The sequence below is a fragment of the Homo sapiens genome, chromosome X (genome assembly GCF_000001405.40).
Source record: "Homo sapiens chromosome X, GRCh38.p14 Primary Assembly".
Taxonomy (NCBI): domain Eukaryota; kingdom Metazoa; phylum Chordata; class Mammalia; order Primates; family Hominidae; genus Homo; species Homo sapiens.
Genome location: NC_000023.11, coordinates 57,591,749 through 57,610,086, shown reverse-complemented (window position 1 = coordinate 57,610,086; position 18,338 = coordinate 57,591,749). Strand labels below are relative to the sequence as shown.

The window sequence follows — 18,338 nt, the reverse complement described above, 5'->3', positions numbered from 1 at the left end:
ACACTGCATGTTCTCTCTCGTAGGTGGGAATTGAACAATGAGAACACATGGACACAGGAAGGGGAACATCAGACACTGGGGACTGTTGTGGGGTTGGGGGAGGGGGGAGGGATAGCATTAGGAGATATACCTAATGCTAAATGACGAGTTAATGGGTGCAGCACACCAACATGGCACATGTATACATATGTAACAAACTCGCACATTGTGTACATGTACCCTAAAACTTTAAGTATAATAATAATAAAATAAAAAAATAATAAAAATTAAAAAAATAAAAAATAAAAATATAAGTATAATCTGTAAGATTCACCTAAAAAAAAAACTTCACAATATAAATAGTCTTCTCATTTTAAGAAATTGTTAGAGAGACAGAATAATTTTGCCAAAATATTTGCTCATACTTTCAAGATCATGTTTTCCTTCATGTAGCATATACAAATTTCAAGTGAAAAGGAATTAAAGTGTCTTATTTAATATCATCTACAAATTTAGAGAACTTACTTTGTCCACCATTATATTCCATAGAAAAGAAAAATAAGTATTAGATATATTTATTAAAAGTATCAATATTATATCAAAATAATGTTCACAAAATATCTGAGTTGGATACACAAATACATTAACTGTTCAGATATATCCAGAAAAATAAGCAAAGTGTTTATTGTTATTCAACATGTAACCAAAACATTAGAAGTAATCTAATGTATAACCAAAACACCAGTAAGCATCATTTCACAAATTGTCTTGAAGGTCAAGAACTTGAATTAAAGAACAACAAAAAAAGAAGGAATGAAAAGAGTCTATAGTGATATGTGTCAGGGCTAAACATTATACTGTAGTATGAGAACAAAGGTTTTAAAATGATTCAGATTTGTGCAAATCTCCACAGATAAAACTATATATATACTATATATAAACTATATATATAAACTATATATATATAAACTATATATATAAACTATATATATAAACTATATATATATAAACTATATATATAAACTATATATATAAACTATATATATATAAACTATATATATATAAACTATATATATATAAACTATATATATATAAACTATATATATATAAACTATATATATATAAACTATATATATATAAACTATATATATAAACTATATATATAAACTATATATAAACTATATATATAAACTATATATATACACACACACACACATTGAGGAAAATGAAGAAATAGCTAAATGGAGGGAATATACTATGTTCATAGATTAGAAGACTCAATACTGAATCTCAAATAAAATTCAAGTAGTTTTGTCATTGAAATGAATAAGTTTATTCTAATCGTATATGAAAAAAGAAAGAGTCAATAATGGTCAAGAAGATCTTATAGAAGAGAGTTAGGGAATTTATACTACCAAATATCAAAATTTTACTAACGTATTTAAAACTGTGTGGTACTGGTGCAAGGACAGAGAACAAAATAGAGAGCAATGAAGCAGACTTAAACATATATTGACACTTGATTTATAATAGAGTGATCATGGCAGAACAATCAGGCCACAGTAGTGTTTTTTAATAAATGGGGCTGGGTAAGCCAGATATCTAAATGGTGAAAAAACGGTGTAACAGCCTACCTCATGCCATTTATGAAAATTAATTCCAGGTGGATTATGAATAGAAATGAAAAAAGAAAAGTTTCTAAAAAGCAGCGACAGGAAAATATCTGTATAGTCTTTGGATTAGCAACATTGTTTTTAAAGGCACAAAAAGCACAAACCAAAAAAAAAAAAAAAACACTGTAAAACTGGAGTACATTAAAATTAAAACTTTTTATCAAAAGCCACCATTTTACAAGAGTAAAAGGAGTAGGATAGAGGGAGGGAACAATATGGCCGAGTAGAAACACCTCTGGTCTGCAGCTCCTAGCTAGATGATCGTAAACAGTGAATGAATTCTGCATTTCCAGCTGTGGTAGCCAGATCCTCTCATTGGGACTGACTAGGCAGTTGGTGCGACCCATAAAGAGCAAGGAAAAGCAGGGTGGGGTGATGGTTCACCTAGGAACTGCACGGGGCAAAGGGACTTCCCTCCCTTAGCCAAGGGAGGCGGGGGAGGGATTGTGCTACTCGCCCGAAGAACGCCTTTCCCACAGATTTTTGCAACCCGCAGATCAGGATATTCTCCTGTGAGCCCACAGCACCAAGGCCTTGGGTCCCAAGCACAAAGCTGTGCAGACCCATGGCAGCTGCAGGGGCTGGCAGCTGCTCGGGTAGGCACTGAGCTGCAGGAGTTTTTGCATACCCCAGTGGCTCCTGGAACTCCAGTGAGGCAGGAGATCCATTCACTCCCGCGGAAAGGGAGCTGAAGCCAGGGAGCCAAGCAGCCTCTCTCAGTGTGTCCCAATAACACAGAACCCCGCAAACGAAGATCCATTAGCTTGGAATCCTCGCTGCCCAGCACAGCAGGCTGGAGTCTGCCTAAGATGACCAAGTTCCCGAGGGGAGGGGCGACCACCATTACTGTGGCTCTAGTCAGCAGTTTTTTCCCTGCCAGTGCTAGGAAGACTGGGCAGAATTCCCCACAGCGCAGCACAGCTGCTGTGGCAGATCATGGCCAGACTGTTTCTTTAAGTGGGACCCAGATGTATCCCTCCTCACTGGGCAGGGCCACCCAGCAGGAATTTTAGCAACTCCAGCCAGGGGTTTACAGACAGAACTCTAATCTCCCAGGGACAGAGCACTTGGGAGGAGGGGCGGCTGTGGTCTCAGTTTGAGTGGACTTAATCCTTCCTGCCTGCTGGCTCTGAAGAGTCTGCGAGATCCGATGGAGGGGTATTCCTGTACACCAGCTCCACTAAGGGTCAGATTGCTTCCTTAAGTGGGCCCCTAATCCTGTGCTTCCTGACTAGGTGAGACCTCCCAACAGGGGTCATGAGACACCTCATAAAGGAGAGTTCTGACTGGCATCAGGTTGGTACCCTTCTGGGATGAAGCTTCCAGAGGAAGGAGCAGGCAGCAATCTTTGTTGTTCTGCAGCCTCCACTGGTGATAACCAGGTGAACAGGGTCTAGAGTGGACCCCCAGCAAACTGCAGCAGACCTGCAGAAGAGGGACCTGACTGGTAACAGGAAAACAAATAAACAGAAAACGACAACAACAACATCAACAAAAAAGACCCCACAAAAACCCCATCCAAAGGTAAACAGCCTCAAAGATCAAAGGCAGATAAATCCACAAATATGAGGAAAAACCAATGCAAAAATGCTGAAAATTCCTAAAGCCAGAATGCCTCTTCTCCTCCAAATGATGACGACACCTCTCCAGGAGGGGCACAGAACTGGGCTGAAGTTGAGATGGATGAACTGACAGAAGTAGGCTTCAGAAAGTGGGTAATAATGAACTTCACTGAACCAAAGGATTATGTTCTAACCCAATGCAAAGAAGCTAAGAACAATGATAAAAGATTACAGGATTGGTTAACTAGAATAACCAGTTTACAGAGGAGCATAAATGACCTGATGGAGCTGGAAAACACAAGAGAACTTTATGATGCATACACATGAAAAATAGCTGAAATGACCAAGCAGAAGAAAGACTATCAGAGCTTGAAGACTGTCTTGCTGAATTAAGGCAGGCAGGCAAGATTAAAGAAAAAAGAATGAAACAGTACAAACAAAAGCTCTGAGAACTATGGGACTACATAAAAAGACTGAATCTATGACTGATTGGAGTACCTGAAAAAGACGGGGAGAATAGAACCAAGTTGGAAAACACGCTTCAGGATATCATGCAGGATAACATCCCCAACCTAGCGAGGCAGGCCAACATTCAAATTCAGGAAATCCAGAGGACCCCAATAAGATACTCCATGAGAAGATCAACCCCAGGACACAAAATAATCAGATTCTCCAAGGTCAAAATGAAGGGAAAAATGTTAAGGGCAACCAGAGAGAAAGGCCAGGTCACCTACAAAGGGAAGCCCATCAGACTAACAGCGGGAATCTTGGTAGAAACCCTACAAGCAAGAAGAGATTGAGGGCTAATATTCAAGATTCTTAAATAAAAGAATCGTCAACCCAGAATTTCATATCCGGCCAAGTGATATTTCTTTTTTCACTTCATAATTTATTTCTCTTTTCACTTAATAAGTGAAAGAGAAATAAAATCCTTTTTGTACAAGCAAATGCTGAGGGAATTCATCACTATCAGGCCTACCTTACAAGAGCTCCTGAAGGAAGCACTAAACATGGAAAGGAAAAACCATTACCAGCCACCACAAAAACACAATGATGTGCTCAGACCAACAACATTATGAAGCAACTATATTAACAAGTCTGCAAAATTAACCAGCCAACATCATGATGAGAGGATCAAATTCACACATTACAGTATTAATCTTAAATGTAAATGGGTTGAATGCCCCAATTTAAAAATACAGGATGGCCAGCTGGATTAAAAAACAAGACCCATAAGTGTGTTGTATTCAAAAGAAACATGTCAGCTACAAAGACACACATAGGCTCAAAATAAAGGGATAAAGAAAAAATTATCAAGCAAGTGGAAAGCAGAAAAAAGCAGGGGTTGCAATCCTGGTTTCTGACAAAATAGGCTTTAAATCAACAAAGGTCAAAAGAGATAAAGAAGGGCATTACACAGTGGTAAAGGGTTCAATTCAACAAGAAGAGCTAACTATCCTAAATATATATGCACTCAATACAGGAGCACCAAGATTCATAAAACAAGTTCTTAAAGGCATATAAAGAGACTTAGACTCCCACACAATAAGAGTGGGAAATTTTAATACCCCACTGTCAGTATTAGATCATTGAGACAGAAAATTGACACAGATATTTAGGACTTGAACTCAGCTCTAGATCAAGTGGACCTGTTAAATTTCTACGGAACTCTCCACCCAAAAACAACAGAATATACATTTTTCTTGGTGCCAGAGGGCACTTAACTCCAAAAATGATCACATAATTGGAAGTAAAACACTCCTCAGCAAATGCAAAAGAAATGAAATCATAACAAACAGTCTCCCAAACCACAGGGCAATCAAATTAGAATTCAAGATTAAGAAACTCATTCACAACCACACAACTACATGGAAATTGAACAACCTAGTCCTGAATGACTTCTGGGTAAATAATGAAATTAAGGCAGAAATCAAGAAATTCTTTGAAACGAATGAAAACAAAGATGCAACATACCAGAATCTCTGGGACTCAGCTAAAGCAAATGAAAAACACAATGAGATACCATCTCACACCAGTCAGAATAGCGATTATTAAGAAGTCAAGAAACAACAGATGCTGGCAAGGTTGCAGATAAAAATGAACACTTTTACACTATTGGTGGGAATGTAAATTAGGTCAACCATTGTAGGAAACAGTGTGGTGATTCCTCAAAGATTTAGAACTGGAAATACCATCTGACCCACCAATCCTATTACTGCATATATACCCAAAGGAATATAAATAATTCTATTATAAAAATATATGGACGTGTATATTCATTGCAGCAGTATTCACAATAGCAAAGACATGGAATCAACCCAAGTGCCTATCAGTGATAGGCTGGATTAAGAAAAATGTGGCACATGTACAGCATGGAATACTATGTTGCCATAAAAAAAGAGCAAGATCATGTCCTTTGCAGGGACATGGATGAAGCTGTAAGCAATTATCCTTAACAAACTAACGCAGGGACAGAAATTGAAACACCACGTTCTCACTTATAAGTAGTAGCTGAACAATGAGAACCCATGGACACAGGGAAGGGAATACCATACACTGGGGCCTGTCAGGGGAGGACAGTTGTGGGGAGAGCATCAGGAGAAATAGCTAATGCATGCCGGGCTTAATACCTAGGTGATGGGTTGATAGGTGCAGCAAACCACCATGGCACACGTTTATCTGTGTAACAAATTGGCACATCCTGCACGTGTACCTTGGAACTTAATTTAAAAAAATAAAAGGAGTAGGATAATATTTGTTCATATGTGTCTAATAAATGCTTTTACCTTGAATATATAAAGAACCCCTAAAAATCAATCAAGAAAAAGACAAAGCCCTCACCCACTTAAATAACACAAGACTTCCAAAATAAGATATCCAAATATCCAACAAACATGAAAAGATTCTCAAGCCCATTAGTAATCATAGAAATGTACATTTAAAACTACAATGAAATACTATTAGAAAACCAATAGTAATGGCTAAAATTGAAAAGATGAAAATGCCAATTTTGGAAAAGACATGGAGCAAGTGGAACCATTACACATGCTACTATATAACCTTTCCATTCTTCTAGGTATTGACCCATAGAAATCCATATGAAAATGCACTAAAATATATGTTAACTAAAATAATGTTATCTGTTGCAGCCAAAATCAAGAAACAATGCAAATACTCATTAACATGTGAATGAATATCATGTGATTCTATAGAGAAATTCAAATAAATGAACTGCTACACTCAATGAACATGAATAAATCTCACAACATTGAGGAAATGAGTTCAGATGGAAATTATTACAAATAATAATAATATCAAGCAGAATACCATGCACCAGTTACCAATTCCAGGGGAGGACTCCAAACCCTTCTGCCCACTGCATCTGGGTATTGGAGTCACCAAAAAACCCCACAACACAGTTAAGCAATGGATGGAGCAAAGCTTTACTACATAAAGAGTGCATGATAAGCTTCAATAGTGTGCATTGATTTCCCGTGGCTAGATGATTTCTTTTGGCAGCCAACAGGGAAATTTGCCTGTGGCACACCCCTCTCCTGCTGCAGAGAAAGGATCCTAACCCTTCCCTAGGGAGGCAAGGTATGGCAGTGGGGTTTGCCAGGTGCCATGTAACCCACATGGTTAAGCAGAAAAATAGGCACGCATTTAGCTTGCACCAGGGAAAGATACTCTTGCACGAGGTGGTATGTCCAGCACAGTCATATGGGCATTTTATCTCTTGGTTAGGGAGTGTTCCAGGCCCAAGGTCCATAAATATGTGGCTAAGTGGGAACCAAAAACTGCAGACATGAGACTGCCTTTCCCAACAAATAATAATAATAACAACAATAAAGAGGACAGGTAGAAATTTTAAGAGAGTGAATTAGCGATTTTCATTATCTGAATCAAATATTCACTGTAAGTGGAAAAGAAAACACCTTTAAAGAGTATTTCTTTGTGGAAAGCACCATCTACTCTCAGTGTCAAATAAAATAACATTTAATTTGACCACTTTTGACATTTCATATGCAGGATGTCAATTAAGGAAATTTCTCTCTTCACTGGGTATTATGTACCCTCGATGATTCTTCATGTAGTTTGTATTAGACAATCATTGAATATTGTAATAATGTTTATTTGATGTCTTTATATTGCTCAGTATAATTGGAAAATACTGGAGAATATTGAACACGTGCCTCTCATCTTTGTTTCCAGATGCTGTTGATCAAAGGCTTTCGAGAAAGTAAAAAGTATGTGGCTCTATTGTAAAATCCTTCTTATGTTTTTTAGCCATGGTATATCCTGTTTTCTATCTTTGAGAATAATTCTCAATGCTTTTTACTATTGTCTTATTATGAATATATGAGTGGAAAGTAAATGTAATGTTGGCTGTGGATGCACATAACATTTTACCTTTGTAAAATATTTTTGTTGTTGTTGCAAAAGAATCTATTATGAATCATAGTCAGAACTACCTTACAAATATTATGAAATGTTATATTTAAGGACTGTATATATTTTGTATTCAAATTTCAAAGTCTAAATGCTATCAGATGCCCTTTGTAAAAATAAAATATAATATCAGTTAGCCTATTTTTTAAAGTACCAATTAATGACATAATACTTTAAACGGAGTTTTAAAAATAGGCTTCTATAAGTTTATATGATATATAAGATTATACTCAGCAGCAAATTTGATAAATATAAATGAATACTTTTAAACAACAGAATCAAATAGCTTTTTTCTTGTGAATTTGATCTTAACTCTAAGACCTACTTAATGTCTCACTCCCCAAATTTTTTCCAGAGACTTTATCACTGATCTATGAACGTGGGGGATACTTGCCTTTCTCCATTTTCGAAGTAGCCAACATTCTAAGGCTATAATTCTAAACATTTATCTAAATAAATGTTAACAGAGCTCTAAATTGTATTGCTTCCAAAATACAGAGATGATTGAGAGATATTCAAATAGTGTAGAAAAATGTACCCCTATCTCAAGCAAAATTTTATTTAGTCAAAACAATTTTTAAATGAAGATAAAATATTAAAGTGTAATTATTATCATAAGACATGCCAACTGATTAAATTATTGTTAAAATTATAATGAGATAATTAATAATTAGCACCAGGAAGCCCACAATCATATGTGAATTGAAGGAGAAAATGCTCAATTTTCTTACACATAGCAAGTACTAAAAGTTGACCGTAGTTGGTGTTAACTAGCTAATGTTGGCACTTTGGACAGGAAAGGACTCACTAAGGCAGCACTAAAGTTGAAACTAGCTAGGGATGAACTGCTGCTGCTCCTTCACTAGGGTTCTCTGTTCTGGAAAATTTCTAAGCAGACAAGTGGACAGTTTCCTTCTGTCATTTGAAGGGAGAAAATTCTGAAGTTAGCTTCTATGCTGTACTGTAAACAGAAGAGAGAGGTTAGTCTTGTTTAAAATAAATCACTTTCTTTTGCTATTATGCTATAAGGAAAATGTTTGTTTTTTACCCTTTGTGAGTGTTTTACATCTTGAAGGTTAAAAAATTCTTAGCATTAAAGAAAGCTTTATTTTGCTATTTTGAAACAGAATTTTCCCTAATTGTCAAAAATGTTAAGCTACTATTTTTTACCAGAAATCAAAACACTTACTTGTTTACCAGAACCTCCACCCCTGAGCACTGGTGAACTTTTAGGTTCCTCCATATTTAACTCTAACTTTCAGTCCCAAATGTTACATGAAATTAATTACTAGTTCATTCCTTCCACCTAGTGTGTCAATATAATACATTTATCTTTGAAATAATGTCATTATTTTTCCACAGAATTAAATTTTGCAATAATGTCTTATAATAAGAAGAAAAGAAATTTACACACAAAGTGTAGGCTTAATACCTTTCCTCATTCATAAAATGAGGGAGATAAGTACACAATCCCCAGGATCACTTATAGGTATAAGATTCATCAAGCCAAAAGTTGTAATCTAAAAATAAATAAAAAACAAAGTCTGTTTCATAATTGATTTTCATATTTTGCTATAGTTTATCAAATCTACTTCTCAGAAACCTGTCAAAGTTTTAGCTTAGAATACTTTTGTTGCAATACTTATACTTTAAACAAAATTTTAGTTTCTGATGAAATACAATATTTCATGATATTGTGCATATTGGTTTCCCATCATCAAAATTTATGCTCACTTACAGAAAATGGTACTTCTTATTCTGATAAACCTATAATGTACCTCTTAAAGCTTTGTTATATACTGGTTTTAATAGTTTCCCATATAGATCATATCTTTAAACATAAAGACAATACCTGTTACATAATTGATACTCAAAAAAATTTGGTATGGATTAATGAGTTATACTTTAGGTGTAATAATTCACAATACCTCATATATTAGGTATTCAATACATAAGTGCTGATTGATAGCTTAGTAAACAAATAGAATGGATGGTCTTAAGGGATTCAGAAATTGTTGGTGCTGTTAGGTATCTCTGTGTGCTTTGTTTTAAAATACCGAATTAGGATATTGTCTTTAGAAAAATAAAAAGTTAAAAGAGTTCTGTATGTCTTTAAATGTCAGCAATTAACAAGAGGGAGAAATTATCCTAGGTGACAATGTGGGACTCCTATCAAATTCACCATCAAATACAGTGTAATTCCTGGAGAGTTATTTACACTCCTTTAATGTTTTACCCTTTATTTTTGTTCCATTCCTTCTAGAGTTCTCTCTTTTAGTGGACAGGGAAACTACAAAATGGAAAGACTGTTGTAGGGGTTCTCACGCTATCACTTGGCTCATGATTCTCTTTAGTGACAGAAGAGATTATGAGTAAGATGCCTCAATGAGGCAATCTCACACAGATCCAGGAATACTGGACTTTTCACCACCTTACTCTTCCCAGCTCCAACTGAGACAGATGCAGGTAAAATTCACTTCTACTTTCATAGTGAACTGCTGAAATTCATGACAAAATACTGAATTCCTGAAATTATGATGCAGTCCTTTATAATACACAGACTATTATACCCTAAACATAATCAGTTAGTATACAGCACAGAAGGCATAGCTCATTTTCATACAGAGTAGTCTCAGGAAGTGATGTAATGTCCAGATTGGCATTGTCCAATAGAAATATAATGAGAGTTTATATGTAATTTTATTTTTTAAAAGAGCCATATGTTTAATTTTAAATTTTCTTTACTTTTCTTCTTTTTTAAAGAGATAGGGTCTCACTCTGTCACCCAGGCTGGAGTGCAGCGGTGGGATCATAGCTCACTGAAGCCTCAAATTCCTGGTCACAGTGATCCTTCCGCCTTGGCCTCCTAATGTGTTGGGATTACAGGCATGAACCACTGTGTCCTGCCTTTATTTCAGATTTTTTTAGTAGCCACATTAAAAAAGTAAGAAGAAACTGATAAAATTAATTTGAATATTTTCTTTGACCGAATCTATTGAAAACATTATTCAACATGTAATCAATATTAAAATACTAATCAGATATTTAATTTTTTTGTATTAAGCCTCTGAAAACTTTTTGTATTAAGGTTTATATTTTACTTTCATAGCACATCTCAATTTAGATACTAAATTTTCAATGGCTAAAGTGAAATTTAGTCCTGCTGAAACAATAGAGTTGTGTCTAACAGAAAAATGTTTATACTGCTTCAGTTTTAAAACTTAAATTTAATTAAGAATTCAGTTCCTCGGTTGCACTAGACACATTTCAAGTGCTGAATAGGCACATATGACTAGTAGCTACCATATTGGCCAATGCAGATCTGGATCATTCAAGACAAGCTGGGGAGGTCTCTCGTAATTCAAAAGGAGGTAAGAGGATCATAACTGTGTAGGTAGTTCTGAGAATGCCTAAAGGAACCCCCTGCCAAAAAAAAAATAAAAAAAAAAAGTAGCCTTTTGCTGTCTTCTAGAAAGTGGATAAACCACAATGTATCCACGTTATAATGTATCCTCATGCAGGATAACAATGCTTTAACAATTATTGTTTAACTAAATACACCATCTTTATACACTGATTCTCAGAAAGAACTCTTACTTCCCTCATTCTGTTAGTAAAAATATGATTATTATAGTCCCCAAGGAAACCTGAGTTACCATTCTTGGTTTCCATGATGATCTCTCTCTCCCTCCCTCCCTCTTTTCTTCCCCCCCACTCCACCGCAATGAGGTACTAAGTAATATTCCTTCTTCTCTTCAGTATTTGAAGAGATATTTGAAATTATCTGATATTTGAAATCTGTCTTCAAATACTGGAAATATTTGAAAATATTTCCAATACCTCTCCACTGACACCATCCTAGTCCTGGCTTCATCCTTCATATCACACCTTGATTGCTGCAAAAGCTTTCTCACTGATTTTCCTATTCCGGTCTTTCCCATCTAATCCACATTGTACACTTGCATGACATTAACTTTTCTAAAACATAATTTTCATTGTCTGACTCCTCTATTAAAACATATTTGGTGGCTCTTCTCTGTGCCCAGAATAAATGTCTCATTATTCTTACTGCTTTTTTTTTGTTAACCTCTTAATCATTTTCATTTGGTGCCAAAGTAAACATTTTTCCGTTTTTGTTCTTCAATAGTTTAATATATTATTTTTCTATCTCCTCCCATCAATGGCGATCTCTTTAAAGGTCAGGGTTATATAGTACTCCTCTCACAGACCCTTCAATATGTTATGGTGTAATCTTCACAATGACGCTCAGTAAATATTTGTTAATTTGGAATATATACAGTATAATCTCCAGCTTACAAATTGCTTTCTTATATGTTTCCTGGACATGAACATGAACAATGTAGGTCACAGAGACAAACTTCATAGTCTATCCATGTTTCTCGACTACTACTCAAGCATTTTGTTGTATTAATTATACTAATTGGTAAAAAATACAAATGTCAGTGTATTTTTAGCTTATGACCAACATGATCAATGGAGCCCCTAGAAACATAATTCTTTTTAAGCCATTATGTTACTGTGTTTGCAATTGACGAGAAGTTTTAATAAGTCAATGCCTGAGGAGAAGCAGAAAGGAAACAGGATGAAATTAAAACAAGTACCATTATTTAAAAGGAGTGATGGCAACTTTTTTCAGACTAGTTAAGTGCAGCTTGTCACCACCAACAGAATTATACCTATTACCTTGAAAGTGTAAAGCTGTTCTCCATGATTTTGCTAGAAAATGATGTTGAAAGAGAAATCATTTGAACAAATTTGTTCAGTGAAACTTTGTGAGCCCATGGACAAATAAAAGCTGTTCCCTTTGAGAACGTAAAATTTTCCTTTGAAAATTCCAGGAGTAAGTAGGAAAAGACATAGTTTATAATTTTTTATTGGGAGAAAGTTGGTTTAAAGAATTTAAAAAATGAAGTCACAGCATTAAATTATCTTTATGTTTATAAATTTATTTAATTTCCAAGACTTATGTGTTCATCTCAATCCTTGACATACTCATCTGCCAGACACAAAAAATAGTGGTCTATTTAAGAGGCCTTAATGAATGACAACATTTTTGAAATATGCTATATGAGTACAAATATTTCCAGAGCAAAGAGGGAAAACTGTTGATTGGGTAGACAATCAAATTCCAAGCATTTATCTGATTTACAGAAGTACATCTACTTTTTGTTTTTCACTAAATGAATACAACCACTTTTAATATATATGTGGGTGTGGCTGTGTGCGTATTTCAAAACACACACGCACACACAATAAAGAAACATTTCATAGTGGCAAAATTTTAGTGCACTGCCAAAGTGCTACAATAACTGTCATCCACAGACATCCACATGCAAACACTACTGGACTAGTACACTAGAGCAAATAAGAGAGTATTTAGCAAAACTCTCTGGCAAAAACTTTTAAAACGGAAGTAATGAAACAGAAATCCACTTCTAATTTGAAGGCTTTAGAAAATAATCTTCATTTTAATCACATATACACATAGTATTATCTAAGCTCAGAAAATAACTTCTTCCTGTATGCACAGAACTTCAATGTACACTCAGTAAATGTTAGCATTTGAAGAAAATGTGCCATGAGGAGAATGTCTGAGGGATAATGGCAGGAAAAAGATATATCCATTATAAAAGAGGACAGAAAGGCATAGCAAGGATGGGGATGTGCAGGAAAGGGAGGGGAGAGGGAAGAAAGTAAACTGACCATAAAAGAAACCAATTCAAATGGAAAACAGCGACTAACCTTGACACAGGAATGAATCATGAAGGCTGGATGGGTAGACTGGGAGGGGTGAAAAGAATGTATATTCTTTGTTTTAAGCTATATATAAAATTGTCAGATTTAGCCAAAGCCTAGTTGGAATGGGAGTTGGCTAAATTACATGAAATGTAACACAGACATTGCCAAAACTACTTCACAGGGTTGTTCTGAACAACGAGACACAAATTGTGAAGATGTTCCCCAAATTGCAAAATGCTACACTAATGTAAGACAGATAGTTTACACAATATTCCAGTTCAATCTTTCCTTTCAACTCTGGGAAATTACAAGTGCAAACAATGAGATCTACAGAGCACAGAAAGAAAAAAACCTCCACTGCTCCATTATCAGATTTTCAGGGAACAGCAGGCTTCACAGTCACAGAGAAGCCTGACTTTCAAAACAGAGCAAAGATGGTGACAAACTGATCGAATGGAGAGATACGCTCTTATGCATGTGGGCAATGTCCCCACTCCTGGTATTACCCACAGCAATTCTTAGAGGGAAAATTATTCAGTAGAGGGAAAATTATTCAGTAGAGGGAAGAGGGAGTAAACAGATTCCCTTGCCTACTTCACCCTAAACTTCATAAACCTCTTTTATCTGCACATGAATAAGATTAAACTACTCCAATTATTGTCTTATAAAAGGAAGGACTGAGAGGATAAAAATGGTACAAATTCACCAACATATGCCAAAACACAGAGTATCTTTCCTTAACATAAGAAACAGGAAGAGAAGAAAATTTAACAGTGTGTCAGGTATGTGTGTGCATTGTTATAATCAGTTAAAAGCTAGAAAACTGAAGCTTAATAACTAATTTATTCAAGGCCACTTATCCAACACCACAGAGCCAAAATTTAGCCCTGGGTCTGTTTCATGTCAAAGTCCTGGCTGGCAATTTCCACAAAACTGCCTTCCATCATCAAAAGAAGTTAGGAAGATAAACAGTGAGAACAGCCAACACATTTTTTTGCTATCTATTTTTTCTTGTTAGTTCTATGACTATTTAAGAAAATATTTTGGCATTGAATAATATTTCTATTACATAGCATTTCCTCCTTTGCTAATGCTTAGTAACTCTACAAAGATGACTCATCATATCAGAAGCATCATGAATTAATGCATTTATCTGCAGCAGCTGCTAATACCACAAAAAGAGAGAAAACCACAGATTATGCGCCACCTACTAAATGAACACAACATAACCTATGAAACATTCATGCCAAAAGCCATGTTTCAATCTCATCAAGTCTCTAGACATAACTAGCAAATTAAAGAAACAGAGGATAGAGGAAAGCAAACATTACCATAGGGATGCAATTAGCAAAACTTAAATTGTGGCAAATGCTACATGTGAAACAACCTCATTTCATAAACAAAATCGCAAGGAAAAAAAGAAAGATGAAAGGGAAACATACGGATTAAGAAGACACTTAGGAGATTTACGGGATTCTACTAATTAAAAATAATAAAACAAGTAGCATTTATGAGGCAATTGGAAGTTTGAACCCTCACTGGATATTTACTGATATTAAAGAATTACTGTAAATATCACTTGCGATAATGGAATTATCATTTTTTTCCATATCATCCCATAGCTTTCAGAGATATATAAAGAATATTTATGGATAAAATGATCAGATGTCTGCTATTTGTTACAAAATAATACTAGAACATGGGGAGTGAGTGAGGCTAAGTTAAAAAAGATTGTTCATGGATTCATAATTGCTGAAATTGAGTGAAAAGTACATGGATGTTCATCATAGTATGATGTAACATTATGTATGTTTGCCAAAAAAAGAACATGTCAGGGCTGGGGGGGCAGTTAAAAAAAAACGCATGCCACATCACTGAAAAACGTCCTCATATTTTTCAAGGAAAGAAATGTATTATCAAGGAATCACAGAGCAGAAAGACCTTAAAAGCAATCTATTCAAACCACCTCAATTTATAAATAAGGAAATTAAGGCTCAGATAGGTTAACTGACTTGCTCAGGGTCACACAACTTGTCAGTTCCAAACTCAAGATCAGAATTTAAATCTCCAAACTTGTAGTCCAGGGCTGTGCTCTTTTTGCAAACCAAAAAGAAATGACTGCACTTAAATATTTAGTCCAGAATATCCTCAAAATTGACTGTAATAAAAGTAAGCCACATGATGAGGAATGAATAGAGTTGGTTCATACCAAAAATGAGCTGCCAGTCACAGTGATAAGATCTGTTTCTTTCTGAGAACCATGGTTTCCTGCTGCATTGGGGAATCCAAACTGGGTTTCTCCCTCCTGTCCAAAGAAGTCAGAGTCAGGATGTACGTTCCACTCCGCTTTGGTTGGTGTCAGTAGTTCTGAGACACTGTTTTCACAAAGGGTGCTCGAAGGAGTCAGAGCATCTGTGTCCACTGTTAGCTTACTGCTGGGTGTCAAAGCCTGAGGCTCTGGACTGGAGTTTTTCATGGCCAAAGAGTCCAGAGATCCCAATGGCCCCACACTTACACTTGAGACCTCATCCATATTTAAGGAGCTCTGCTGAAAACCAGTGGCCGCCGTTCCAAAAAAGAGAGAGGTATCCAGACTTTGAGGAGGGTCGCTGGTGGCCATCAAGGACGGAGGGTCCACAGCCTGCCCTACGGAATTATTATTATTAGCAGGGAGGTGCCCTGCCAGAGTCGAGCTCACAGAAGCCACATCAATAGTCAAGATTCCAGAGTTCACCAATGCTGTGTCCAGCAATGCAGCAGAAGTACTGTCAGGTACATCAGAGAAGAGAGACACTATCTCTGCATCACTGAGATCATTCTGTCTCTGGCTGGTAAGTTCACTGCTGGGTGTGAGAGAATTTGCTGCTTCTAGCTGAGCTAAGAGATCCTGGCCCACCTTATGCCTTTTAACCATGTGCGTCTTCATGCTGTGCTTGGATGTGAAGAGTTTATTACAAGAGGAGATCGGGCAACGGCTTTTCCAAGTGTCCACATCCTGCAGGTGTTTCTTGGAGTGAATGTAGAGGCTACTGCGAGCAGAGAACCTGGCACAGCAGCCTGCCACAGGACACACGAAAGGCTTTGTGCCCAGGTGGGTTATGCTGTGGCCTTTCAGATGTTCCGCCCTCGTGAAAGATTTCCCACAGCCTTCCACAGGGCACATGAACCTCCGGTCATCGTCGTGCTTTCTTTTGTGCCTTAAGAGTTTGGACATGCTAGTGAAGTTCCAGCCACAGCCATCAAAGTCACAAAGGAAAGGTCTCTCGCCGGTGTGACTCCGCAGGTGAATTTTCAGCCTACAAGCCTTGTCATATTGTTTGCTGCAGCCAGGAAAAGAGCAGGAAAACAGTTCCTGTTCCCTGAAATGGGCGCGGTTATGGGAAAACAGAGCACTCACTGTGATAAATGTCTTCTTGCAGCCAGAAAACGCGCACTGGTAAGGCCTCTCCGGTTCGAAGTGGCTGCGCTGGTGGGCGCTGAGTTTGGCCTGCGTGGGGAAGCTCTCCTCGCACACCTCGCATTTGAATGAGTTCTCCTGCTCATGGCCCTTCATGTGCGCCTTGAGGTTGTACACTGTGGTGAAGCTCTTGCCACAGCCCTCTGCCGGGCAGCCAAAGGGCCGCAGTTTGTCGTGCGACTGCAGGTGCCTCTTGAGCTTGTAAGAGGTGGTGAAGGTCCAGCCGCAGCCACCCAGGGGGCATTTGAAGGGCCTCTGGCCCTGGCTGCTGCTGTGCGTCAGCAGGTGCACCTTCAGCTGGTGCTTCTTGGCGAAGGTTTGCCCGCACTGCGCCTCGGGGCACAAGTACAGCACCACGCCTGGGCCGGAGCCCAGCGGTCCGCGGGGGCCCAGGGCGGCGGCCGGGCCCTCCGCCTCCTCCTCAGGCGCCGGAGCTGGCGCGGGTTCGGCCGGCTCAGCTAGCAGGAGGTCTGGCGGCAGCTCTGGGCAGTCACCCGGGTGCGCGGCATGCGGGAACCCAGCTTGCGGGGCGATCAGACACCCGGGCTGCTGGGCAGGAGCGGCCCCTGGCTCCCAGGCGTGTGGTGGGGGCGTGGCCAGGGTGAGGACGCCGTTCTCAAAGCGCAACAGCAGGTCCTGGTTGTGGATAGTGACTGTGCCCGCGAAGGCCGCGGCGGGGCCGGGGGCGGAGATCGGGGCCGGAGTGGGAACCGCGGACAGGCAGCGGGGGCCTAGCGCAGTGGGCCCCGCGGGATTCGCGCCGCTCTCGCCCCCCTGGAGCCCCGGGCCCTCCTCGGCCTCCTCCCTCAACACAGGCCCTGCGGCCTGACCGGAGCCCGCGGTCTCCACGTCGCCACCCACCGGGTCAAGCAGCACCAGGAAGAAGTCGTCGCCGCCGCCGCCGCCGCCGCCGCTAGGTTGATCGGTCCTCGGCGCCAACAGGCTTGGGCCAGGGCCCCGTGATGCCGTGCTGGCCTCCTCGCGCCGCCGCCCGGGCCCGCCATCTTGGGGGCCCCGGAGCAGCAGGAGGCGGCGCGTGGGGACCTGGCCAGCCGGCGAGTCAGGGCCTCGGTGGACTCGGCCGCCACCCGCGGGGATACCGCCGCCGCCGCCGCCCTGTAGTGTCCCGCGAGCCGGGAGCAGCTTCGGGATTTCCATCTCTGCGTCCGAGAGGCTCGGCTGGAACCAGAGCCGAGGAGGAGGCGCGATCCCGCCCCCTGCCGCGGGCCTGAACACGTTCCTGAAAGGGGAAAAAAAAATGTGCAATGCGCAGAAACTGGCCCTATCAGATATTAAAACGTATTTAACGCCACAGTGATTTAAATATTCTGGTACTGGGTCTCTGGAACAGAATAGAAAGCCCAGAGGTAGAGCCTGGTATGCATAAATACGTTCTACAGTTAATATAAGTAAGTAATTAAGGGGGTCTTCTGAGGTAATGGGGAAATGACGACAGCT

At 38.9% G+C, this 18,338-nt stretch overlaps 1 protein-coding gene across 1 annotated transcript, besides 3 other annotated features; it reads right to left on the bottom strand.

Moving 5' to 3' along the window:
- Positions 1,826–2,325: an enhancer, noted in NCBI's record as "H3K4me1 hESC enhancer chrX:57634195-57634694 (GRCh37/hg19 assembly coordinates)". NCBI's record gives its function as "activates a minimal SCP1, AML or CMV promoter by ChIP-STARR-seq in primed H9 embryonic stem cells {active_cell/tissue: H9 hESC(primed)}" and the evidence as "EXISTENCE:reporter gene assay evidence [ECO:0000049][PMID:30033119]".
- Positions 12,610–18,076, bottom strand: ZXDB (zinc finger X-linked duplicated B). The gene has a single exon (NM_007157.4). The coding sequence runs from the start codon at positions 18,036–18,038 to the stop codon at positions 15,627–15,629; it is 2,412 nt and encodes an 803-aa protein (NP_009088.1). The 5' UTR covers positions 18,039–18,076; the 3' UTR covers positions 12,610–15,626.
- Positions 17,199–17,388: a silencer, noted in NCBI's record as "silent region_20872". NCBI's record gives its function as "represses an Ori minimal core promoter by ATAC-STARR-seq in GM12878 lymphoblastoid cells {active_cell/tissue: GM12878}" and the evidence as "EXISTENCE:reporter gene assay evidence [ECO:0000049][PMID:35858748]".
- Positions 17,449–17,738: a silencer, noted in NCBI's record as "silent region_20871". NCBI's record gives its function as "represses an Ori minimal core promoter by ATAC-STARR-seq in GM12878 lymphoblastoid cells {active_cell/tissue: GM12878}" and the evidence as "EXISTENCE:reporter gene assay evidence [ECO:0000049][PMID:35858748]".
- Positions 18,077–18,338: the final 262 nt, after the last annotated feature.